The sequence below is a fragment of the Homo sapiens genome, chromosome 6 (assembly GCF_000001405.40).
Source record: "Homo sapiens chromosome 6, GRCh38.p14 Primary Assembly".
Taxonomy (NCBI): Eukaryota; Metazoa; Chordata; class Mammalia; order Primates; family Hominidae; genus Homo; species Homo sapiens.
The window spans coordinates 151,785,870-151,812,525 of NC_000006.12; the positions used below are offsets into that span (position 1 = coordinate 151,785,870).

Below are 26,656 nucleotides of genomic sequence, written 5' to 3' on the forward strand. Positions count from 1 at the left end.
CTGTGTGTTGAGTGTGAAGGAGGGGTTAATTATTCCTCTATTCATGTCCTTTCTATTCTCAAAATTTCTTATGTGGGAGGAAAATCTTGGTGCGGTAAAGATCACAGCCACCCTGGGGTCAGACAGAGGACTGTGTCAAGCTTGGTAAGCGTCACCATTCAGGTGAGTGGGAAAGAGACTGAACCCCATTAAACCAGATGACCTCCAAGGCCCTGCCCGCCCCAACATCTGAGGGCTGCCTGGCTTGTCTGCACAGGGTGCTCACAGTACTCCTGACTTTGACATAATTTTAACATTAAAGTCACAAGGATGCCCTGGATCACAACTGCTGGAGAAGAGATGGTAGTGGGATTTGTTTCCCAGGAGACTTTCTGATTCTAGTGGGGCCAGGACCAACCTCCAAAATAAGAGGTCTTTGCAACTGCTGCGAGCCTCCTGGCACCTCTACCCTCTAGCGAGAGGCTGCCTCTCCTGCCCCACCCCGGTTTCAAGCACGCTGCAGGGCAGGAACTCACTGTGCTGGCAAAGGTGAGCTGGAGACCTGGCACGGCATAAAGCTTTTTTAACTGACCCTTTTTAATTTCATCTTCCCTGGACTTAATCTAGAGAGTCATTGATGAAACAAACATGCCATTTTCTCCCGATTTCACGCTTTTAAATGTCAACAACAAACAAACGTTTATATACACAAATGTTGCTGAAGGAGACTTTTGGCTTTAGACAAGGGTAAAAACTGAACCTCTTAGTGTGACTTTGGTTGATTTTTTAAAAAATCTGTAATTTGACATATAAAGAATTATTAAGACTTTTTTTTTTTTTCTGGTAGGCATTGAATGTGTCCTTGAAAAGAAAAAAAATATGCTCAGTTTCAATCTTCTGTCTATGGGTAGCTAGTTATCCCAGCCTTAGTTATTGAATAAGGAGTCTTTTCACCATTGCTTATTTTATTTTACTTTTTGAGATGGGGTCTTGCTCTGTCACCCAGGCTGGAGTGCAGTGGCACGATTTTGGCTCACTGCAACCTCCGCCTCCCAGGTTCAAGCGATTCCCCTGCCTCAGTCTCCCAAGTAGTTTGGATTACACATGTGCACCACCACACCTGGCTAATTTTTGTATTTTGATAGAGACAGGGTTTCACCAAGTTGGCCAGGCTGGTCGTGAACTCCTGACCTCAGTTGATCCACCCCACTTGGCCTCCCAAAGTACTGGGATTACAGGCATGAGCCACCGTGCCTGGCTGCATTGCTTATTTTTGTCAGCTTTGTCAAAGATCAGATAGTTGTAGGTGTGTGGTCTTATTTCTGGGCTCTCTATTCTGTTCCATCAGTCTATGTGTCTGTTTGTGTATCAGTGCCATGTTGTTTTGGTTATTGTAGCCCTGTAGTATGGTTTGAAGTTGGATAACATGATGCTTCCAGCTTTGTTCTTTTTGCTTAGATTGTCTTGGCTATTTGGGATCTTTTTTTGGTTCCATATGAATTTTAAAATAGTTTTTTTCTAGTTCTGTGAAGTATGTCACTGGTAGTTTGATAGGAATAGCATTGAATCTATAAGTTGCTTTGAGCAGTATGGCCCTTTTATTGATATTGATTCTTCCTATTCATGAGCATGGAATGTTTTTTCCATTTGTTTGTGTCATCTCTGATTTATTTGAGCAGGGTTTTGTAGTTCTTCTTGTAGAGAATTTCACCTCCCGGGTTAGCTGTATTCCTAGGTGTTTTATTTCTTTTGTGGCAATTGTGAATGGGATTGTGTTCCTGATTTGGCTCTTTGCTTGACTATTTTTGGTGTATAGGAAGGCTAAGTGATTTCTGTATGTTGATTTTGTGTCCTGAGAGTTTGCTGAAGTTGTTTATCAGCTGAAGGAGCTTTTGGGCCAACACTATGGGGTTTTCTAAATATAGGGACATGTCATCTGCAAATAGGGATAGTTTGACTACCTCTCTTTCTATTTGGATGTGCTATATTTCTTTCTCTTGCCTGATTGCTCTGGCCAGGACTTCTAATACTATGTTGAATAGGAGTGGTGAGAGAGGGCATCATTTTCTTGTAACTGGACCCCTTCCTTACACCATATATAAAAACTAACTCAAGATGGATTAAAGACTTAAATGAAAAGCCCAAAACTCTAAGAACCCTGGAAGACTACTGAGGCAATACCATCTTAGACATAGGAATGGGCAAAAATTTCATGATGAAGATGACAAAAGCAATTGCAACAAAAGCAGAAATTGAGAAATGAGATCTAATTATACTAAAGAGCTTCTATATAACAAATAAAACTATCAACAGAGTAAACAGACAACCTACAGAATGGGAGAAAATTTTTGCAAACTATGCGTCTAACCAAGGTCTACTATCCAGCATCTATAAGGAACTTAAATTTACAAGAAAAAAACAACCTCATTAAAAAGCAGGCAAAGGGCATGAACAGACACTTTTCAACAGAAGACATACATGTGGCCAACAAGCATATGAAAAAAGCTCAGCATCACTGATCATTAGAGAAATGCAAATCAAAACCACAATGAGATACCATCTCACACCAATCAGAGTGGTTGTTATTAAAAAGTCAAAATATAATAGATGCTGGTGAAGTTGCAGAGAAATGGGAACACTTATATAATGTTGGTGGGAGTGTAAATTAGTTCAATCATTGTGAAAAACAGTATGATGATTCCTCAAAGACCTAAAAATACAACTACCATTCAACCTAGCAATTCCATGACTGGGTATATACCCAAATGGATATAAATTGTTCTATCATAACGACACATACATGCATATGTTCATTGCAGCACTATTCACAATAGCAAAGACATGGAATCAATCTAAATGCCCATTGATGGTAGACTGGATAAAGAAAATGTGGTACATATACATGATAGAATACTATGCAGCCACCAAAAAGAATGAGATCATGTCCTTTTCAGGAACATGGAAGGAGCTGGAGGCCATTATCCTTAGCAAACTAATGCAGGAACAGAAAACCTAATACTGCATGTTCTCACTTGTAAGTGGGAGCTACATGATTAGAATTCATGGACACATAGAGAGGAATAACAGACACTGGGGCCTATCAGAGGGTGGAGGGTGGAAGGAGGGAGAGGATCAGGAAAAATAACTAATGGGTACTAGGCTTAATACCTGGGTGATGAAATAATCTGTACAACAAACCCCCATGACACAAGTTTACCTATGAAACAAACCTGCACGTGTACCCCTGAACTTAAAATAAAAGTTAAAAAAAAACCCCAAAAGGTGAAGTGTTGGTGAGGATGTGGAGAAAAGGGAACCCTTATTACACAATTAGTGGGAATGTAAATTAGTGCAGCCATTTTGGAAAATAGCCAAGGAAAATTTTTTTATTGAGTCAGATGATGTTACCTTACAGCAATAGCTTCCAAAGGGGATGTCCTGAATAGTAGAACTTCTCTTTACATTTTCAAACCTCTTTTTACTTTCTGATTTTGAGTTTCATAATGAACATGTATCAATACAATAGCACACTATGTATTTTATAAATGAACAAATATGGGAAAAATAAGATATGTTCACTTTCCTGGCTGACCCTAGTTAGTCTAAACTATCAGTTATAGGATCCATTTGTTCTAAATATTGAAGGCATTGTTGGGGGCAGTGGGGAGGGTGAATGATAGACGCAAATTCCTTGAAGGAATAGAAATGTGACTACTATGCTGAAAAGCAGGACCCATGGAGTATAAATAGAGTATTCACTGTGCTTTTACATTTGTTTCCCTGGAGGAAACGTAAAACAAATCTCAAGACTTTCTGGTCATTTCTAAGTCATAAACGGCCACTAGTCACTAATTTATATAACCAGCCCAATGTAAATATCAAACGTGTGAGTTTCATTTCATCTCACAACTCCTCCCCTTTCCCAGTTCTGGCCCCATACAAGCCCGCTGCCTGCAGTGTAATGGAGGAAGATGGTTTCTTTTTCCTTCCCTCCCATTTATTTGTCTTTGTGCATCTTAAAGCCAGCCTGAATTTCTACTCCCTACAAGGTTGAAGTGGGTGGGTCAGGAGGTGGGGAGAGAGCTAAGGAACGTTGGCGTGAGTTGTTGTTGTGTTTGAGTCTGGAAGGTGTTGGGAGCTGCCCCCCCTCACTCAGGGCCTCATTTATGGGCTCTTCGGATAACCCCCATGCTCTAGCACTGGGATCTTGCCCTGTGGATCCCTCCATGCAGGTGGCACCACACCCTCTGGCTGGTTGTGATGGGCCTTCTCAGCTTTGAGAATTAGCAACACACTTCCTATTGAAGTCATCTGTCCCTGTGGGTAGCCCACTTGGGCTGGATGCAAACTGAACCTGCACTGATTCTCTCTTGCATGTGGCCCACATGAGCTCCATTTTCCTCCGCAAACTTTGGGTGCACAGCCCCACGACGACACAGACAGCTTTTCTTGCGTGCCACCAAAGTGGTGGGCCAGAGTTCTCTTATCCTTAAGATTTTCAGGTGTCACCACGTCCACCAATTCTTGGCAGACATGAATCAATACTTCCAAGGGTTTTGGTGAAGCCCTTTTCCCTGGGCTGCAGATGAGGGCAGCCATGTCCTGTCTCTTCCACCTGTTGTGGAAGGGGTTCATGGCAAACATCTTCGAACATCCTCTAATTTCCCAATTCTTGATCCTTTCGTATGCTTGATGTGTGAGAGAGAAGAGAGAAGAGAGAAACGCTTCTTGCTGCTTTTTTTTTTTTTAATCCCACATGGTGACCTTAGACTTTACTTTGGAATGTGCCATTTAATATCTGGGGACCTCAGCCCAACACAGGGACTAAATAGCTCTGTTTTAACATTTTGTTTATATACACACATTCATTTGACCAAATGAACATGTTCCAGCTTTTTTAACCCTTGCCCAGCAAATCACTTAATTCAGTTAATAAAAAGACTAAAATAATGAGGCCAACCTTATTGGCCACGAACATCTGTTGGGTATTCCTAAATTGATCCCTGAGTTAATCTCCACCTTTAAGGAGTTTATAATTTTATTTGGCAAATTGATGTTATAATGAAATTCCTGGGCATGAAAAAAACCTAACTATGTAATGTTGGATAGTGTGAGTTTTCCCAAAAGTACCAGTATAAGCAATAAATGCTATAACTGATCATGAATTGTTTACAGTGATTGAGTAGAATCATTGCATCTGGTCATGAATAGAAAGAGCACCTCCCAGACGGCTGGTCTGCTGCCAGGTGTGCAGTTTTAGGGGTCTCCACACTCATTCTATTCACATCTTTTGACTTTATCAGCTGTGTGGTGGATCTGTGGTTACAGGCTGATGTGGTTTGGCTGTGACCTCGCTCAAATCTCATCTTGAATTGTAGCTCCCATAATTCCCACGTGTCATGGGAGGGATCCAGTCGGAGGTAATTGAATCACGGGGGCGGGTCTCTCCCGTGCTGTTCTCGTGGTAATGAATAAGTCTCACGAGATCTGATGGTTTTATAAATGGGAGTTCTCTTTCACGAGCTCTCTTGCCTGCCGCCATGTAAGAAGCGCCTTTGCTCTTCCTTTGTCTTCTGCCATGATTGTGAGGCCTTCCCAGCCATGTGGAACTGTGAGTCCATTAAACCTCTTTCCTTTATAAATTACCCAGTCTTGGATATGTCTTTATTAGCAGTGTGAAAATGGACTAATACATGAGCCACATTGTTACAGAGTTTCTGAAGGTCATTAAGAGAAGTCCATGCTGTGGGCTGAGCTGGGACTCAAGAATCTCAAAGGAGAGCCAGTGCAATCAACACGAAGGGCCCATCTTGAACTCCTAAGGCAGGGCAGAGCTGGGTCTTATGGAGACATGTGGCTTTCAGGTAATCCAGTGAGCACCTGTGTTTTCCTCCTATAATTCTTGAGGAATGGATATTGTTCTATATTTCAGATAGTATAATAATAAATACCTGGAAAATACTGTATGACCCCAAACAACAGGTAAAATGTCAAAAAAAACCTTTTATCTACACAAAGTTAGACAACAAATTCAAATAATCTTATCCGTTTATTCATTCTCTTCCAATACAATCATGTATCATTTAATGATGGGGATGAGTTTGGAGGAAGGTGTTGTTAGGAGATTTTGTCATGGTGCAAACATCATCAAGTATACTTATGCCAACCTCAGTGGTATAGCCTACTACACATCTAGGCTTGGATAGTACAGCCTGTTGCTCCTAGGCTATAAACCTGTACAGCATGTTACTGTCCTGAATACTGCGGCAACTATAAAATAATGGTAAGTATTTGTATATCTAAACACACTTCAACATAGAAAAGGCACAGTGAAAATATGGTATAAGAGATAAAAAATGGTCCACCTGTACAAGGCACTTGCCAGAATGGAGCTTGCAGGACTGGAAGTTGCTCTGGGAGAGTCAGCGAATGGCTGATGAGTGAATGTGAAGGCCTAGGGCATTATTGTATGCTACTGTAAACTTTATAAACACTGTGCACTTAGGATACACTAAATTTATTAAAAATTTTTCTTTCTTCAATCAATAATAAGTGAACATTAGCTTACTGTATTTTTTTTTTTACTTTATAAACTTTAATTTTTTTTTAGAGATAGGGTCTTGCTCTGTTGGCCAGGCTGGAGTGCAGTGGCACAATCATAGTTCACTACAACATTGAACTCCTAGGCTTAAGCAATCCTCACACCTCAGCCTCCTGGGTAGCTGGTACTGCAGACGTACACTACTGCACCCAGCTAATTTTTAAATTTTTTGTAGCGACTGGGTTCTGCTATGTTGACCAGGCTGGTCTTGAACTCCTGACTCAAGCAATCCTCCTGCCTCAGCCTCCCAGCATGCTGGGATTATAGGTGTGAGCTACTGCACTTGGCCTAAACTCTAATTTTTAAAATCTTCTTGACTGTTTTATAATAACACTTAGTTTGAAACACAAACACATTGTACAGCTGTACAAAAATGTTTTCTTTCTTTACATCCTTATTCTATAAGCTTTTTTCTGTTTAAGTTTTTAAAAATGTTTTAGTCTGAGTGCGGGGGCTCACGCCTGTAATCCTAGCACTTTGGGAGGCCGAGGCGGGCAGATCATGAGGTCAGGAGATCGAGACCATCCTGGCTAACACGGTGAAACCCTGTCTCTACTAAAAATACAAAAAAATTAGCCGGGCATGGTGGTGTGCACCTGCAGTCCCAGCTACTCGGGCGGCTGAGGCAGGAGAATGGCATGAACCCAGGAGGCGGAGCTTGCAGTGAGCTGAGTTTGCACCACTGCACTCCAGCCTGGGCGACAGAACGAGACTCTATCTCAAAAAAAAAAAAAAAAGTTTTAAACCTTTTTAAAAAATCAAAGTCACAGACACATGCATTAGCCTAGGCCTACCCAGGGTCAGGATCATCAATGTCACTGTCTTCCCCTTCCACATCTTGTCCCACTGGAAAGTCCTCAGGGACAGTAACACCCCTGGAGCTGTCATCTCCTCTGATAATAATATGGGCTTCTGGAAGACCTCCAGAAGGACCTGCCTCCTGCCTAATGCTGTTTTACAGGTAATATTTTTTTCTAGTAGAAGGAGTACACTAAAATAATGATAAAAACTGTAGTAAAGTAAATATATAAATTAGTCATATAGTCATTTATTATCATAATCATTATGTACTGTACATAATTGTATTGCCAGACTTTTATACAACTGGTGGCACAATAGGTTTGCTTACACCAGCATCACCACACACGTGAGTAATGTGTTGTGCTGTGACATTAGGACAGCTACAATGTCAGGAGGCAATAGGAATTTTTCAGCTCCATTATAACCTTACAAGACCACTGTCATATCTGCAGTACAAAACATCATTATGTGGTGCATGACTATATTTACTGAGCACCAAATATGTGCCCAGGCAGTGTGCTAGGGGCTGGAAGTGACCTCGAAGTCTAGTAAAAAAACCACAACAGTAAAACAATATGTGTAATTCAAAGTGACATATCCTGTAATAGCTGGTTGCCTACCTGCTCCCCAGAGAGAAATTAAACCTGCTTGCTTAACTTATTAATTTTAAATTCATGTACTTGCAATATAAAAACATATTTTAAAACATATTAGGAGAATAGGATGTCTTCTGTAGTGATAGGCTATTTAATGTTCTCTTCACTGTGTTCTAAAAAAATCGTGATCGAGTGTAACAAAATGGGGAAGGGAGGGTTAGCATAAACTCTCCTTTGATGTCTATGCTGTGGATCAGAAAACTCATGAATATGTTAACAACTGGATTTTCTCCTAATATGAAAACAACTCTTTGGCTTCTTTTGCAAATGTGAAAAGTTAACCATAAATATAAGACCTTTTCTTTCCACTAAAACTAGGGCACAATCATTGTTTTCCTCTTATTGGAGTCCAAATGGGTTTCCATAATCTTCAGATCTAGTAGTTGTATTTATCGATGACATAAATGGAAAGACTAAAAGATAAAGTTAAGAAAAATTCAGTGGTTTATGGCTTCAACTCTACTGATAATTTTGTATATAAAGGGATCCTAAATTAGACTGTACACACATTTGCCATTTGAGTTCCAAGCATTTTAGCAATAGATCAAAAGATCTTAATGCCTGATAGTTGAAAGATTACTTCCAAATTTTTTTTATTTTTGTGAAAGCCAAAGTCCTTTTCTCAACATGACAGTCACAATTTTGTCAACAATCTACCCGTTATTTACAAAGGTTTAAAATCTGATAATAGATATTTACTTGGACTATACAATGTCTCAGTGGGAGCAATAGATGGTTTACAATGGGTCTGAAAATGTTGCAAATAGTCAAAACTGGCATTGCAACAATTCATTTCCAAAAACACACTAGACTCGTGAGTTTTTGGTTTTTAAGTTTATATAGCTTGCTTCTGGTGTTAACGTTCTCCACACCTAAGGTGCCAACATGCATGGCTACTCTTTGTCCCCAGAGAAACATTGCTAATTTGTACCAAATTTCAATGATGTGTCAAGCAAACTGTCATTTTGGAATGATAGTAAGCACGCCTTCAACAACAGCTCTTTATTTCGTCCAAAACCTTTGGGCCACACAATTCTGACCTTTATCACACTCTCAGTACCTTTCATTCATTATTAGCTTGTGCTTCTGGGGCCCCGGGAATTGTCAACTATGGTCAAAATAATGGAGCAAAATAGCAAGAAGAACTTGCGTTTCCTATATCATTGCATTTAATCTTTGCAACAACTCTTTGAGGTGGAAATTGCCCCAATTTTATAGATTCAGCTTAAAGACCTTGATTTGTCCAAGATCACACAACCACTAGGAGGTATAATGTTCAAATAAAAATGTCTGAAAAGAGCTGGGTGTGGTGGGTCATGCCTGTAATCCCAGCACGTTGGGAGGCTGAGGTGGGGGGATCACCTGAGGTCAGGAGTTTGAAACCAGCCTGGGCAACATGGCGAAACCCCGCCTCTACTAAAAATACAAAAATTAGCTGGGTGTGGTGGTGCATACATGTAATCCCAGCTACTTGGGAGACTGAGGCACGAGAATTGAATGAACCCTGTGAGGCAGAGGTTGCAGTGAGCTGAAATCGCACCACTGCACTCCAGCCCAGGCGGCAGAGTGAGACTCCATCTCAAAAAAAAAAAAAAAAAAAAATCTGGAAAGATAGATTACTTGGCCTCAATCATAGTAAAAAAGTGTCAGTTAAAACTGCATGGAGAGATACTATTTTGAAAAGCATCAAAAAGTTCGAAGATCCATCATATTTGTAAGGCTATGGGAGTTTAAATTGTACAGGCGTTATGAAGGCATTTGGTTACATCTACCAAAATTAACACCGCACATATTTACTCATGTGCAAATTGACTTATGTACAAATTTACTAATTGTAGCATTGTTGATAATTGTAAAATATTAGGAACACACCTAATTGCCATTAATGGGGAACTGGTAAAATAAACTAGAATTCCTCTGTGCATGGAATACTATGCAGTCATCAAAAATGACGAAGATGTGGCCGGGTGCGGTGGCTCACGCCTGTAATCCAGCACTTTGGGAGGCCGAGGTGGGCGGATCATGAGGTCAGGAGATCAAAATCATCCTGGCTAACACAGTGAAACCCCATCTCTTCTAAAAATACCAAAAAAAAAAAACCAAAACACAATTAGCCGGGCATGGTGGCGGGTGCCTGTAGTCCCAGCTACTCGGGAGGCTGAGGCAGGAGAATGGCGTGAACCCAGGAGGCGGAGCTTGCAGTGAGCCGAGATTGGGCCACTGCACGCCAGCCTGGGTGACAGAGTGAGACTCCGTCTCAAAAAAAAAAAAAAGAAAACAGAACAAAACAAAAAATGAGGAAGATGTTTATTTAGTGAAATAGAAAGATATCCAAGATATGTTGCTAATAAAAACAAAAAAAAACACATGGCACAAATAAGGTGCATGTTACTATCTGGGTCTTTTAAAAAGGGGTGTGGAAGAATGTGTGTGTGTGTTTTCTTCAATATGTGTAGAATATCTCTGGAAGGAAATTTAAAAACTGGCGACCTCAGCTGTCTCCAGAGAGGGAAAATTGGTGGGTTGCAGGCAGAGGTGAAAGATTTTCCCACTATGACTTTGAAAATATCTTTTCAAGTTTAAAGCACCAACTGCATTATATATCAAGAGTAAATAAAATACAATTTTAAAATGAAATGGCATTTGTAAAACACTTGATAGATGTTCAGTTAACAGCCATCAGGATTTATTAGTAATTGTGGTTTTTGCCATTAAAAGTAATTTTAAAAGTAATGGTTTTGCCATTAGTTTTAATGACAAAAACCACAATTAGTTTTGCACCAACCAAATACCTTACGCTTCTGGTGAGGGCTCAGAAGAGAGATCATAAGTAAAGAACACTAGAAAGGATGTTTAATATTATTTCCCTTTTTAAAACTGGTGGTTGTCAAAGCAGTCTGAAGGAAAAGTCTCCAGAACTGGTGATCATGTTCACATAGCAGTAGTTTGGAGTCAACAGAAATCATCTTCACCATCAACCTAGCTCCGAAAGAGGCCGAGCCAATCTAGTTCCCTTGGCCAACCACCTTCCTCCCAACCTATACGTTGGGGTGATCCACTACAAAGCTCTCAAGAGTATACACAATGCTACTACAGTCATTGTGAGTGAGATCTGAAGGGAGCATAGGCTAGGACTCATGAGATTATAGTTCAGAGTTTCTACTGTAATTCCTTTCAGCAAAGTGAAGAGCATGTCACTGGGGTTACAAGTGTTACTGGCTACTTAGCTAGTGCTAGATTACCCAAAAAAGTAACCGGGTCTCATGGGCAGAGGTGGGAAAGTCTGTTAAGCACATAGTGAAGGATGAATCTGGGCTGATTGGAAAACATTTGTTTGAATGAATGTAGCATTTATTTCCAAGAATAAGCATGTCCAGACTGATTGAGCAAGAGTTATATTTAGTTCAGTCGTTCTGATGTCCATTTTGAGAAAGCTAAACCAGCATGCCAGAAGGGGTCAAAGATCACATTTTGCATGAAAGAAAAGCCAATGGAAATGGGACTGTTAGACTTAAACTTTTGGGTATTTTACACTAGGACTTAGAAAGGACTTTATTCCTTTTTATATTTTCTGTCTCTAGCATTGCAAGTAGCAACAGAGTGAATTTTTGGTATTTGGAATACTCTCTCCTCATTTTTCCTTTGGGAAAATCATTAGCCTATTTGATTTGACTGCTGTTGAATATGTTCCATGACATCCATAAGTCTACCTTCAGGCATTGCTTGTGCTTGTTTATTACATATGATTAATTGCTTACATAAGAACAATGATGATCCCTGCAGGGGGAGGAGGGATGTGAAGAACAACTTACTTAGGCATTCCAGGGGCTAACAAGGGATGGTTTGATACAGCTCATTCTTGTTTTGAATCTTCATGCCTCTTGAGAAAGAAAGGAGCAGAATATGCTTTGCATGGCGCTATGTCCTCCCAGGTCCTATGTTTTCTTTTTTGTATTTTATCAGTTCTCTACGTAAGGATTTTCTCAGTTTAATATAATTTCCATTTTTAAAATTCAAATACCTACATATGAGGTGGGAAAGGAAATTAATCAGATGCATTCCTATAAACTGCAGACTTAAATTAAGACCTTGAGCAAACTGGCATTTTGATGACTTGAGGATTCAGTGGGTGGGACAGTTGTACATCTTGAACTCTGGGTACACTGCCGAAAGCGAGGCCTGAGAAGGCTGTGTTGAGGAAGGAGTGTCAGTGACTGAGCCTGTTGGAAAGGGAGGCTGAGAGAGATGAGGACACATACGTAAGGGAGAACACATTGGCTGGCCAGGTGTTTTTTTTTCTGCTGTGGGTTTTGATTAGAATTCTGGGTCTCATTAAGTGACCCATGTTGAATAGAGATTGGATAGGGCTGGCTTGGAAAGCCCTCAGTGAAGAGATGAACTCGACAGCATGATAAGGAAGTAGATGCAAATTCAGGACAGGAAATGGAGAAGGGCAGGGTGAGAAAAGGGAACAAATTTACAATTTGTGCCATTAGCCATTTATTAGAATTTGGTATAAGAATTTGTGGAATTATTGTTTCCTTCTGGATTTATGGTACAAAAACCTACTGACAAGTGTCACTAAAAGTGATGTCTTTATTCAATTATCAACCAAAAGTTTTACACTAAATTCTTTTGAGTCTTTGAATGTTTATGTTATTTCCAATAATCTTTCCAGTTCTTTTAAAAGGCTGATTTTTAGGAAGGCTAGCACTTTTTGATCACAGAATAGTTTCCCCAATGAGTATGATAGCTTCAATATCTTTCAAATTAGATTCTTTTGGAAATTGAACTGTGTCAAATCAAATAAAACAAGTAGGGTTTTTTGCTGTTATTGTTGAAGGTATTATATTTGCAAGTTTGTACAATTTAGCAGATATAGGAAAGGTCTAATTTTTTTCTTTAGCTAGAATGTTCAGTTCAAATTATACAGATATAAGCATGAGACCTAAATGAACTCTCTTCTGATGAGTAATGAATGGAAGGTAGATTACTCATTTCTTCATGTTCAAAAAACAAATTATGTCTCTGAACACAGTTGTTTCAATGTTTTTAACTTATGTTCTCAAGCTCTTCCCATTTCTTTATCAGTGATTTGGGAATGTGAAGGCAGTCTTGTTGTAGTTTCCAAAGATTTAGGCATTTTTGAGACTCTAAGAATAGTTCATTAAGCCACCAATTAGTCCCTTAATTTTATTTAAGCTGAGCAAGCAAGGCCCACACTAAAAGTCAGAAGAATGCGGCATCTACCCAGAGAGGCTGAGGGTGGGATAGAAAGAAGGAGGCACTCCAAGTTTGGAGACACAGATTCTATTCCAGTTCCTCAAGCTGCATGACCTTCAGCAAGTCTCCTGTGTTGTTCAGGACCCCAGTTTCTTTATAAGTGCAATGAAGAGTTTGGACTCAACAACTTATAAAGAAACATTCATTCTAATTGTCTATTGTGTGAAAAGAATGTGAGTTGTTCTAGAAAATATGAATCTGCTCCCCAATTGTCCTCCAAGCTCTGGTTCTAAATTTCAGTTATTATAGTTACTTCTTTCGAGGTAAATCATTGAGGAAGTCAGTTAATGCAGAGATGATGTCTGGAAGGAGTTTACAAGTTCATTGTTCAAATAGTATTTGTTGGGGGCCAACTACAACTACACATCAGGGATTGTGCTCACATTGGACTAGTGTCTTTGGAAAACAGAGTCCTTGTGTGCCCTTTTTGAATTTACAGGCCAACTTGGGGAAGCAGAGAGACAAATAGGAAATCCAACAGCATGATAAGTAGTATAATGAGAATGTTTAGGGAGATACGAGCATTTATAGGAGTAGCACTCAACAGGAAATCAAGGAAGGCTTCCTGGTGGCTATGATGTCTCAAGGGAGACTTGAAGCATGAGTAGGAGTATGTCAGATGAAAAGGGATGGGAGGAAGATTTCAGGTAGGGTAATTTGCATACGTGAATATTTAGACCCAGAGAAAGTCCAGAGGGACTGAGGAACTTAAAAGAAATCCAGTATGGGAGGAGCATAGTACCTGTTGGGGAGGGTGGGGACTCTTGATAAATGAGGATAGTAATTCAAGTTCTTTGGCTCTTGAGTTACTTTTGGACAAGTTGAGCTTCAAGTAGCTAGTACATAGGAGGAGCTTAATAAATATTTATTGAATGAATGAACATGTAAGTAAAAATGTCTAATAGGTACCTGGCAAAGTGGACTTCCTAGTCAGGAAAGAGAGGTTGGTTGGAGATTTCTATTTTGAAATTTTCAATGTATATATGAAAGTAAAAACACAAGGAGTGGTTGTGATCATCCAGGAGAAGGTATGCAGAGGAGGGAAGAGGGTCTAGGGGCTGAATCCTGGGGTACCCACACCTGAGAGGAGGGAGAGGAAGAGGGGCTCTCAGAAGAGCCTGAGCAGGAAGGGCCATTGTAATAGGACTAAACACTAAGCCCCTGAAGTCAGCTCTCTGGGGGCAGAGGTTTTTGTTCTGTTTATTTTGGGATGCCTGCTGTTGACCAGATTATGCTCCCCTACCCACCCAAATTCACATATTGAAGCCCTAACACTCAATGTGACTGTATCTGGAGATAGGGTCTTTGGGAGGTAATTATGGTTAAATGATGTTTTAAGGCTGGGACCCTACTCTGATAGGACTGTGGCCTTATAAAAAGAGCTCTCTCTTTTTCTGTCCTCCTCCTTCTACCTCCTCCAGGACCCACCCCAACCCCACACTGAGAAAATAAATCGCTGTTGTTTAAATCACCCAGTCTATGGTATTTTGTTACAGTAGCCTGAGCTGACCAAAACAGTTCTCCGCACTTAGAAATGGTCCTGGTAAATACAGCTAATCAATATTTTTTTGAGTGAATTGAATGAATGAGTCATTCACTGGCATGCTTATAAATGCATTACTCCCTCCACAGTGTGATTGTCATTGAGCAGGTTGGGAGAAGGGAGGAGCTCTCGCAAACATGGAAGTCCTGGGTGCTTAGGGAGAATGGGAAGGTGCCGTGGTCACAAAATCGGAAGAAAGAGCTGAAAGGCTGAAAGGCTGAAAATGCTAAACTGCTCAAATCTCCTCTGTCTTTTTTTAAAAAAAATCATTTGGCTAGGCTGGCTCTGAAATTGGGGATGGTTCTTGGTTGATTATGTGGTGTGTGTGTGTGTGTGTGTGTGTGTGTGTAAAGGCCCTTCTTAACATTAGATAGGACTATCTGAATCTAAGTGAATTTAGGCACAATCTAGATATTGCTCTTCATAGAGAAATAATACTCTAAGCTGGCAATGAAATTCCTCAAGTAAACAACAGATAAAGGGAAGGAGAGGGACACAGTGTAACAATAATTGGAATAATTGGAATTCTTGTATCACTCATGGCACTTACAGTGAAAGTACTTTCTACATTGTCTTCTATTACATGCAACATAGGTACATTATATAAAAAGATCCTAAAATATTGTTAAAAGAAATTTTCCCAGAAAATGTAAGATAAAAGTTACTAAATTCTATTAAGCTTGCAAGTTAAATCCAAATCATTCATTGACTCATAATCAAGAACAGTCATGCTGCCTGACAACCAAAAAATTCAAACTGTCTTCATCAAGTCCTGGGTGGGAAGCCAGGAAATGGGATCTGAGATCACAGGCTTTGTGAGAGTCAGGGTCTTTGGCGTGATTCTTGGTCACAAATCATGCATTTTTTTCCTTGGAGAGATAGTGGGAAAGAAAAGGCTGTTTAAAAACATGTTAAAGAATACTGATTCCATTTGACTTCTTGTTAATGTGTACCCTTGCAGACTTGGGTAAAACTTGATCATGTTAAAAGCCATTGTACTTAAAGATTCATGACTAGAGTGTTAGGACAATTCTGTGGCCTTGGGGGTCCCATTGCAGCAAGAAGAGTCTGACTGAGAAGAGGATAGCTCCGTCCTTTGATGCCTAGTAACCTGCATGCCCAGCACTTTGCTGGCTGGGCCATTGGTAGGAAATGCGGTACATGCACTTCAATCTGTAAGAGATCATGGTCCATAGAGATCATAGATTTATTTTGCCACCTGGCCCAGATGGTGATAGAAGTCAGGACAATGGTTGCCTAGAGGGGTTGGGAGTTTATTAGAATGGGACACAAAGGGAAATTTCTGGGGTGATGGAAATACTCTATACTTTCATTGGGATGATTGTTACATGGACATATCCATCTGTCAAATTCATCAAATGGTATGCTTTAGATACATGTATTTCATTGTATATAAATTTTGCCTCAAGAAACAAAAACTCAAGGTCAGGTGAAAAAAGTCCAGGAGCTAATCAAAAACCCTTAAAATAAGTGACCAAACTATTTGTGAAAATGAGCAGAAACTTAAAGGGAAATTCTTTGTTATTTTTCCACATTAGAGGAAAATTGATGGTATCAGATAAATGCTCAAAAATAAGCTTCCAAACAGAGCATTTATAATCAGTACAATAATAAGTTTGAACACAGACAAACCTTCATGTCTCAGAGTGAAGGAACCATTTCTAGTAGTATAAGCTATTACGGAGATAGTTCCACATTTATTTTCTTTCATGTTTCTTTTGGAGGAATAATGTTTTTGTAAATGTAAAATGCTTTTAATGGAGCTAGAGAAGAAGCTATGTTTGGTCATAGTATTATCTGCTTGCGAACTAAAAATTCAGAGCTCTCTTGTGAATCATGCTGCCAAGAATTGCAGACTTAAGCCTCAAGATTGTACGAATTTAAATTTTGACTTTATGGCCTCAGTTGGCATGAAGATACAAAGATAATCTTCTAGCAAAAACAGTTTTGAAAGACCGGGCGTGATGGCTCATGCCTATAATCCCAGCACTTTGGGAGGTTGAGGCGGGTGGATCACCTGTGGTCAGGAGTTCAGGACCAGCCTGGCCAACATGGTGAAATCCTGTCTCAACTAAACATACAAAAAAATTAGCTGGGTGTGGTGGCGGACACCTGTAATCCCAGCTACTTAGGGAGGCTGAGGCAGGAGAATCGCTTGAACCCAGGAGGCAGAGGTTGCAGTGAGCCGAGATCACACCAGTGTACTCCAGCCTGGGTGACAAAAGTGAAACTCTGTCTCAAAAAAAAAAAAAAATGGTAGAATGTCACATGGAAAGTTAACTTTTAGAGATAGTAATCCAGACACCTATAATATTACATTGTCCTTTTAAGTATCTATATCAATAAATTAACCAACATTTGTTGACTTAACATGGCCAGGGACAGTGCTGGGTTCTCATAATTCCCAAGTAATTCTAGCCAGACCTTGTCCTCAAGGAGCTTATGAGCAGCATGAGGAGATAAAAAACAGATAAATAACTCTAATTCAGGAAGAATTTGATAAATGCATGATAACTACTACTAGAATTCAGAGGAGAGGAAATTTTCTTTGAATAGAGACTAAAGGAAGGAATAATGAATGTGGTAGCATTTGGGCTGGACCTATTACAAGAGGCATGCTTTCCCCTGACAAGCCAAGAAAGTGGGGATTTAAGGTAGAAGAAAAGAAAAGCCTTGAGTTCTTGGAGTATTAAAATTTTGCTTGGCTGAAGCATAGGTTACAGTCGGAGGAGATGGACTAGGAAGGATCGTTATGGGCAGAGAGGAAGCCCTGAACTCATGGGGGAAGCTATGATTTGGGTTAAAGACAGAGCTGGGTCATGTCAAGATGGATCCTGAAGCAGTAAAAAAAAATCCAAGAAAGTAAACAGGTTGCAGGGTTTAGGATGAAGTCCGGGAGGAAAGGGCAGAGTGGTCCTTAGGAGGCCGTTAGGACAGGTAAGGTAATGGGTCTCAAAGGGAGTGGCCGAAATGCAATGGAAAAAGAGAGATTGTAAAGCTAGAAGGCTTAGGAATTGCCTCTTGATTAGGTGTGGAAGGCAAGGGAAAATCAGCCCTCGAAGAAGACAGTGAGATTTTAATCTGGGTGGCTGGAGAGACAGTGATGCTGGGCACAGACACGGGGAAGTTGAGAGGAACACCATGTTTGAGAATGGTGACTCATATTTGAACAAGCCTGCAATGCCCAGCAGACCGCTGGAAAAGTGGGGCTGGAGACACATTCAACGGAGGAGCCAGATCAATCTTTACCCTTCTTCACCTGAGAGAGCCAGTAAGTCACGGCTGGAACGTGTGTGTCCAGCAGGAGAGGGTAGGGAGGGAAGCCAAGAGAGCTGGGAGCCCGAGTGAAGTTTTTGCCAAAGGCAGAAGAGGAAAGTCGGCGTAGCACAGTATACTTTCCCACCCATGCTCACCAAGCCCAGGGACAAGGCTCACCAAGATGAGTTTGGAAGAGAATGCTGGAGAGAAAGTGGTTAAGAAAACTGCCTTTACTGAACTTCTTGGGCTAACTTTGATTGTAAGTCTCTGAACAATCAAAGCCTGTGAGGAGACAGCTAACCTTCTTATTCTTCCTATGTCAATAGTGAACAATTGCAGATCCCCTTTCCTTTCCTTCTCCTTTCCCCTGTTCCTCTCTCCTCCCTCCCTGAATACTCTTGCTTTTTTCTGGGACTGGTCTAGAGCATGGGTGGCCATTGTTGACCTACAGGAGGCACCACTGTCACCAACAAAGGGTAACAGTCTTTCTTTTCAATATTTATTTATATCCAGTATTTATTTTCAATACTGACTATGGAGAGAGCTCTCCTGTGCTCAAACACTGCAATACTGGGGGTCTTTCAAAGCACAAAAACATATATTTGCATGATGGCATCATTAACATTTTTATGGCTTTCTATTTCTTTTTTGTACTGGTCTCAAGAGCCACTCATAAATCTCTCAGTAACTGCATAGTGTCCCAGGGCCAGAGACCGGCCACTCCTGGCATTGTGATTAGAGTCATTTAATATCCAAGGTGGTGACTAATGTCTGGCAACAAAGCCTCCATTGGGTGTCATGTGTCCTGGGACCCTGAGCGTGGGCACTCTAGGAGCACCTCAGTATTGCGTGTTAGTACTATGGCCGAGAGAATAGTTGAGAAAGTGGTCAAGAGGTGGATCCATGTGAACGCCACTGGGAAATGAGAGACCTCGTTCCCAATCACGGTCAGTGCAACTCGAAAGCCTAAAATCAGTTTAAAACAAAGGTATCTACCTTTATCTTATGTTCATATCCTAGGCTTTTAATAATACGTATTTTTCACATGTTTACAGAAAGCAGTCAACTGAGCTATTCATGGAAAGGTTTGTGGGTTTGGTTAACGAAGTGGAGGAGTATTACATTTCAGCTGGAAACACATCCCTAGAATGCCAAAACATTTATTCCAAAGTCTGGTTTCCTGGTGCAATCGGAGGCATGGCAATGCCTCTGTTCAGAGACTGGGGGCTAGGGCCAGTAAGGCATTTGATCCACATGTATCCCAGAAGGCTTTTATTGTTAAATTATATTCTTTCGGAAAAACCACCCATGTCCTATTTTGTAAACTTGATATCCATACACTTTTGACTGGCATTCTATTTTAGCCGTAAGACTATGATTCACAGCAAGCCTGTTTTTCCTCTTGCTTGGGGTGGCAGCAGAAAGCATAGGGTACTTTCCAGCCTCCAAGGGTAGGGGCAAAGGGGCTGGGGTTTCTCCTCCCCAGTACAGCTTTCTCTGGCTGTGCCACACTGCTCCCTGTGAGCAGACAGCAAGTCTCCCCTCACTCCCCACTGCCATTCATCCAGCGCTGTGCAGTAGCCCAGCTGCGTGTCTGCCGGGAGGGGCTGCCAAGTGCCCTGCCTACTGGCTGCTTCCCGAATCCCTGCCATTCCACGCACAAACACATCCACACACTCTCTCTGCCTAGTTCACACACTGAGCCACTCGCACATGCGAGCACATTCCTTCCTTCCTTCTCACTCTCTCGGCCCTTGACTTCTACAAGCCCATGGAACATTTCTGGAAAGACGTTCTTGATCCAGCAGGGTAGGCTTGTTTTGATTTCTCTCTCTGTAGCTTTAGCATTTTGAGAAAGCAACTTACCTTTCTGGCTAGTGTCTGTATCCTAGCAGGGAGATGAGGATTGCTGTTCTCCATGGGGGTATGTGTGTGTCTCCTTTTTCTTTCAGGACTTGTAGGATTCTTTGTGCCATTTGCATATAATTTGGCAGGTTCACATTTTTTAAGAGCCCTATGAAGTGCTTTTTGCATGTGTTTTAAAAAGGCATTTGAAAATTGAAAGTGTGATTTATGGAAATTAAATCATCTGTAAAAAATTGCTTTGGAAAGTAATGATTGCTGGCCATAAAGGGAAATATCTGCGATGCACCTAATGTGTTTTTAACCCTTTATTTGCTGACAATCTATAGTCATTAATGCTAAACTCGATTTTGGCTTCAGCTACATTTGCATATTGTCCAACAATGGTCTATTTTTGTAAGAATTAGATAAAATGTATACTTGATATAAAATAGTCAAAAATGTAACTCTTAGTAACAGTAAGCTTGGCATTTAGATAGACCATGAACACTTCGTCAGATACTCTGTTGGGTGTTTGGGATAGCAATTAAAACAAAGTATTGATAGTTGTATCAGAGTCTATTAGGCTGCAGCAAAGGAAGTTTATTCAAAAGTATAAACTATCCAAGATTATAGACGCATGATATACTTCACCTATTTTTTGTCTCCTTAATATGTATATATATATATATATATATATATATACACATATATGTGTGTGTGTATGTGCGTGTGCATGTTTAACTTTTAATTCAGTTAAAAACTTTTTTCTATTTGTTTTTCATCTGGATATTTGATTCTGCATATCCTAGCCCAAGTGAACCGAGAAGATCGAGTTGTAGGACTAAAGGATAGACATGCAGAAATGCATTTTAAAAATCTGTTAGCTGGACCAGACCGACAATGTAACATAATTGCCAAAGCTTTGGTTCGTGACCTGAGGTTATGTTTGGTATGAAAAGGTCACATTTTATATTCAGTTTTCTGAAGTTTTGGTTGCATAACCAACCTGTGGAAGGCATGAACACCCATGTGCGCCCTAACCAAAGGTTTTTCTGAATCATCCTTCACATGAGAATTCCTAATGGGACCAAGTACAGTACTGTGGTCCAACATAAACACACAAGTCAGGCTGAGAGAATCTCAGAAGGTTGTGGAAGGGTCTATCTACTTTGGGAGCATTTTGCAGAGGAAGAAACTGAGGTCCTGGCAGGTTGCATTCTCCTGATGGCAAAATGCAGCTCTTCCTATATGTATACCCTGAATCTCCGCCCCCTTCCCCTCAGATGCCCCCTGTCAGTTCCCCCAGCTGCTAAATATAGCTGTCTGTGGCTGGCTGCGTATGCAACCGCACACCCCATTCTATCTGCCCTATCTCGGTTACAGTGTAGTCCTCCCCAGGGTCATCCTATGTACACACTACGTATTTCTAGCCAACGAGGAGGGGGAATCAAACAGAAAGAGAGACAAACAGAGATATATCGGAGTCTGGCACGGGGCACATAAGGCAGCACATTAGAGAAAGCCGGCCCCTGGATCCGTCTTTCGCGTTTATTTTAAGCCCAGTCTTCCCTGGGCCACCTTTAGCAGATCCTCGTGCGCCCCCGCCCCCTGGCCGTGAAACTCAGCCTCTATCCAGCAGCGACGACAAGTAAAGTAAAGTTCAGGGAAGCTGCTCTTTGGGATCGCTCCAAATCGAGTTGTGCCTGGAGTGATGTTTAAGCCAATGTCAGGGCAAGGCAACAGTCCCTGGCCGTCCTCCAGCACCTTTGTAATGCATATGAGCTCGGGAGACCAGTACTTAAAGTTGGAGGCCCGGGAGCCCAGGAGCTGGCGGAGGGCGTTCGTCCTGGGACTGCACTTGCTCCCGTCGGGTCGCCCGGCTTCACCGGACCCGCAGGCTCCCGGGGCAGGGCCGGGGCCAGAGCTCGCGTGTCGGCGGGACATGCGCTGCGTCGCCTCTAACCTCGGGCTGTGCTCTTTTTCCAGGTGGCCCGCCGGTTTCTGAGCCTTCTGCCCTGCGGGGACACGGTCTGCACCCTGCCCGCGGCCACGGACCATGACCATGACCCTCCACACCAAAGCATCTGGGATGGCCCTACTGCATCAGATCCAAGGGAACGAGCTGGAGCCCCTGAACCGTCCGCAGCTCAAGATCCCCCTGGAGCGGCCCCTGGGCGAGGTGTACCTGGACAGCAGCAAGCCCGCCGTGTACAACTACCCCGAGGGCGCCGCCTACGAGTTCAACGCCGCGGCCGCCGCCAACGCGCAGGTCTACGGTCAGACCGGCCTCCCCTACGGCCCCGGGTCTGAGGCTGCGGCGTTCGGCTCCAACGGCCTGGGGGGTTTCCCCCCACTCAACAGCGTGTCTCCGAGCCCGCTGATGCTACTGCACCCGCCGCCGCAGCTGTCGCCTTTCCTGCAGCCCCACGGCCAGCAGGTGCCCTACTACCTGGAGAACGAGCCCAGCGGCTACACGGTGCGCGAGGCCGGCCCGCCGGCATTCTACAGGTACCCGCGCCCGCGCCGCCCGTCGGGGTGGCCGCCGCGCCCGGCAGGAGGGAGGGAGGGAGGGAGGGAGAAGGGAGAGCCTAGGGAGCTGCGGGAGCCGCGGGACGCGCGACCCGAGGGTGCGCGCAGGGAGCCCGGGGCGCGCGGCCCAGCCCGGGGGTTCTGCGTGCAGCCCGCGCTGCGTTCAGAGTCAAGTTCTCTCGCCGGGCAGCTGAAAAAAACGTACTCTCCACCCACTTACCGTCCGTGCGAGAGGCAGACCCGAAAGCCCGGGCTTCCTAACAAAACACACGTTGGAAAACCAGACAAAGCAGCAGTTATTTGTGGGGGAAAACACCTCCAGGCAAATAAACACGGGGCGCTTTGAGTCACTTGGGAAGGTCTCGCTCTTGGCATTTAAAGTTGGGGGTGTTTGGAGTTAGCAGAGCTCAGCAGAGTTTTATTTATCCTTTTAATGTTTTTGTTTAATGTGCTCCCCAAATTTCCTTTCATCTAGACTATTTGATTGGAAATATGTCAGCTATGATGATGACTTTCTGGGAAGCGATTCCTGTCACCCGCTTTCCCCTCCTCCCCACCCCACGTCCTGGGGCTTTAGAGAGCGATTGGGAGTTGAATGGGTCTGATTTCGGAGTTAGCTGGCTGAGTCCGCGCTGGAGCGGATTGCTGGCATGTGACTTCTGACAGCCGGAAATTTGTAGGTGTCCCGCGAGTTTAAAACAAGCCATATGGAAGCACAAGTGCTTAAAAATAATCTCCTGCCAGCCCAGTGACAAGCCTGTCCCACCCGGGGAGAATGCCCCGGAGTGGCGTGCGGGTCAGCCAGGGTCTGCGCCTCGCAGCCACTGTGGAAGGAGCGCGGCCGGTCCAGGACACAGGAGACCACTTTGTGACTTCAATGGCGAAGGTTGTGTGTCCTCATTTTAATTTTTTTCCCTACAAGAATTGTTCTTTCTCCCTCTCCTCTCCCTCCCATTTTCTCTTGCCCAGTTTCTCCTTTTGTTTTTTGTTTTTTGTTTTCCTGATGGGCCTGCAGAGGGATTAGGTGGGCGCTTCTGGTGAACACCTTCCTAGGTGGCCACAGGACAGGTGTACCCCGGACTGGGTTTGGAAGCTTCAGGGCGCCACATGGCTGGGTCCTGAATTAGGCATTTCCCAACTGTACACTGGTATCCGGACTGGTGTCCCTATATCTTTCTGCCTTGTAAGCCGTGGACCAGTTTTTGTTCAGTATTCTGTTTCCAGGGATATTTATAGCAGAAGGAAGGGGACTAAAGTGCAGTTTGGCCCCAGAGGATACTGAAGGGCAGATTCTGGGGGTATTCAGTGTGCATCTTCAGCCGCCTTGGAGAAATTTAGAGCATCCCACAGCCACGCAGATCCAAGCTGTCTTTACTCAAAAGACAAACAATGAACAAAACTTTTAAAGGTTGGCATATTTCAAATTAATTTTACTTGTTTTAATTTAGGGTTAAAACAGAGAAAAAGGATTTCTTCTGCCCACCTTTTTTTTTTTAAATGGAAGAACAAAGTACAGCGATTAAGTCTAATTCCACACAACATTTAAAACTGCTTGATGTGAAGGAAGGCACTGGTATGATGTGAATTCCATAACCTTATGATGGACTCCAGAAACCATTTTCTTCCCTATTTAATTTTCAGTTCTTTTATTGCAAATTAATGCTGCTGAATTTCAATGGGCACTAATGAGACTGCTCCTTGGTAGATTATTTACTGCCTTGCTAATAATTACAAAGTGAACCTGGTCAAATACAGAGGGGATCGCATCTTATTCAAAATTGTTCATCATCCCAGTGATAAGTGGTATCAGTGTAATATGCCCTATCTTACACTTTCTGCATTACATGATATTCAAACACTCTTAGAATAATAAAAAAAGAGACAAGGAACTTAAAAATTAAAAAAAAAACTTGCACAAATGGGACTCTGTGTGGAAATTCAGTTTTAGAATGATTTTTCCTGTGTTTTATTTCCCGGATTATCTTTCCTCTTTTGTTAGAATTCTGCCTGTTATTATCCAGCAAGGAAAAGAAGCATCTATGCAAGTTCTTCATATGGACAGATATTATTTAGTATTTTTCCCCTCTCAGTTTTTCTGCTTAAATGACTCTGGGTATAAAGGAAAGGATTGATTGGGCTCTTTTAGGAAACTTTAAGTTTCTTAAGTAGTTCTCAAAAGTTTTGGGGCTGAAAGCAGTGTTTTCAAACTGCTTGTCATGACCCAGAGGGTCATGAACTCAGTTTAGTGAGTCTAGAATATTTTTTAAAAGGACTAAAATGGAAAGGAATATAATAGAAAATATCAGAGTGCATGGTATTTCGTAAGGATAAGTTTTGTTTCCTGAAAATCTGTTTTAATTATATGTGCTTCTGTGTGCTGATTGTGATGTAAAATGTATTTCTTACTGTGGATTGAATTCAAAGAAAAAATTAGAAAGCTAATGGCCTAAAATATTATATGTTCAGTAGAAAACAAAAAATTCAGGCAAGTGGCTGGTTGTTTTTACCTATACAAATCAAAAGGCTATTTTGATTGTCTTCATTTTCCCCTTATAAATTAGGTTGGTGTCTTTAGTCATTTAGGCTAAGTTTTACTATCTGATTCTTAACTTTTCTATTGTAGAATGGTGCTGTCATGTGGACTGTCCTCCCGAGTGTCCCACTGGATGTTCAGAGAATTTATGTGAAGGTCACGTCATTTAGCATTGAGATGCTGTGGTTACCTTCTTCCATTTCTTCCATAATATGCAGCCACATCTATGTGTGAAGAAATGTAATAGATAAAATTTCTCTGGACGCATAATAATGTGAGAAAGATTGTCACATGTCCCAGCAAATTGTTATTAATATAAATTTGTTACTTGGCAAGCTGAGATTTTGCAAGATGTTACTCAAAATTTCACAATGAAGGAAACAGGGAGTCATCTTATCCTGGGTTCCTTTTTTAGATTTCAAACAACTTAGGAACTTTGAATAAAACTAAAGATGAAGCTTAACTATATCAACTATCCTTTTTAAAGTTCTAATTAGGAATTTAATGCTGCATGCTTATTTCAGTTTTATTACTCAGTATTCTTAAAAGTTAGACGTCTCTCACTTCTCCAAAAAACTTGGCAAATGTATAAATCTTTTGCATCAAAATCAATGCCCTGCTAATTTGTATCCTGGCCATCTGCATATTTTGGACAACTAATTTTTCCACTGGTGATCATTTGAAACTCTTTCTCAACTTTGAATAGAGACTGATTTCCAAAGTGAGATTTAAGTGACTAAGTTTCAAGTTTCCGATACATTTTTCCTTTTACTTAGATAACATTTCAGCCCCCTTCCTTTCTGATCTTACTTTTTTATTAATTTAAATTGTTACTGATTACGTGACACTTTGTGCTGGTCTAAGAATAGTCCAGAGTCACATATTCCCTGGTGAATGAGCATATTTTCGGATGAAAACGGAATCACATCTTCAATCCCCATTTCATTTTCACCTCCTCCATGTGGCTTGTACCTGTTTGGAAGAAAGCTCCTGAAGGATAATTGCCACTTATTCTAATCTTTCTCACACTCATTTAATTTGGATCCCTGGCTAAAGTTGTTATTTACTTTTGTGATTATACTTAGTCTATGACATTCATAATTTGGGAAAATTCTCAGGTTTGAGAATTTTGGCGGCTTGGGATTTCTTTTAGTTTCTTATAGTTTTAAGGATATGTAAGACAGGTGTAAGAAACTGCCAAGGGGAGGAACCATAGATATCAGGAAAAACTAGAAAAGATGCCAGACTTACCATTAATGAATGATGAGACAATAGTAACTTTGTTAAGTGAGATTGTATATGTGAAAGTGGTATAGAAACTAAACAAACATTAGGTGTTTTTATTATTTTACTCACATGTTAATATTTGTTTTGGTGCTTTCATAGGCTAAAAAGCTGGGAAATAACAGATTTAAGTGGTCAGGAATTTTGTTATAAATATAGAATGATGATTATATGAAATCTTTTCCTGTGAAAGTCAAATTTAAGTAAAATCTTTATCACCATCTGCAACATTTGTCTGCAGCCTGGCTTACCAGGTTATCATAAAGAACATTTATTTTACAGATACATTAAAGAAAGTCAAAACCCTGATTATGTGTAAACAA

The 26,656-nt window shown here is 41.5% G+C and overlaps 1 protein-coding gene across 31 annotated transcripts in view; it reads left to right on the top strand.

Annotated features, from left to right (window-relative positions):
• Positions 1 to 26,656, top strand: part of ESR1 (estrogen receptor 1) — a 472,948-nt gene that overhangs the window by 129,198 nt on the left and 317,094 nt on the right. For 12 of the 31 annotated variants that reach the window (XM_047418290.1, XM_017010377.2, NM_001385568.1 and 9 more), the window contains one exon: positions 21,974 to 22,495. In XM_047418290.1, the coding sequence (XP_047274246.1) occupies positions 22,044 to 22,495 (452 nt within the window). In that variant the 5' untranslated portion in view covers positions 21,974 to 22,043. Of the gene's footprint in view, positions 1 to 5,645; positions 5,844 to 19,835; positions 19,952 to 20,044; positions 20,067 to 21,326; positions 21,756 to 21,812; positions 22,496 to 23,237; positions 23,403 to 26,656 lie in introns of those variants that run through there. The other 19 variants (NM_001291230.2, NM_001122741.2, NM_001291241.2 and 16 more) reach the window with 8 other exon arrangements.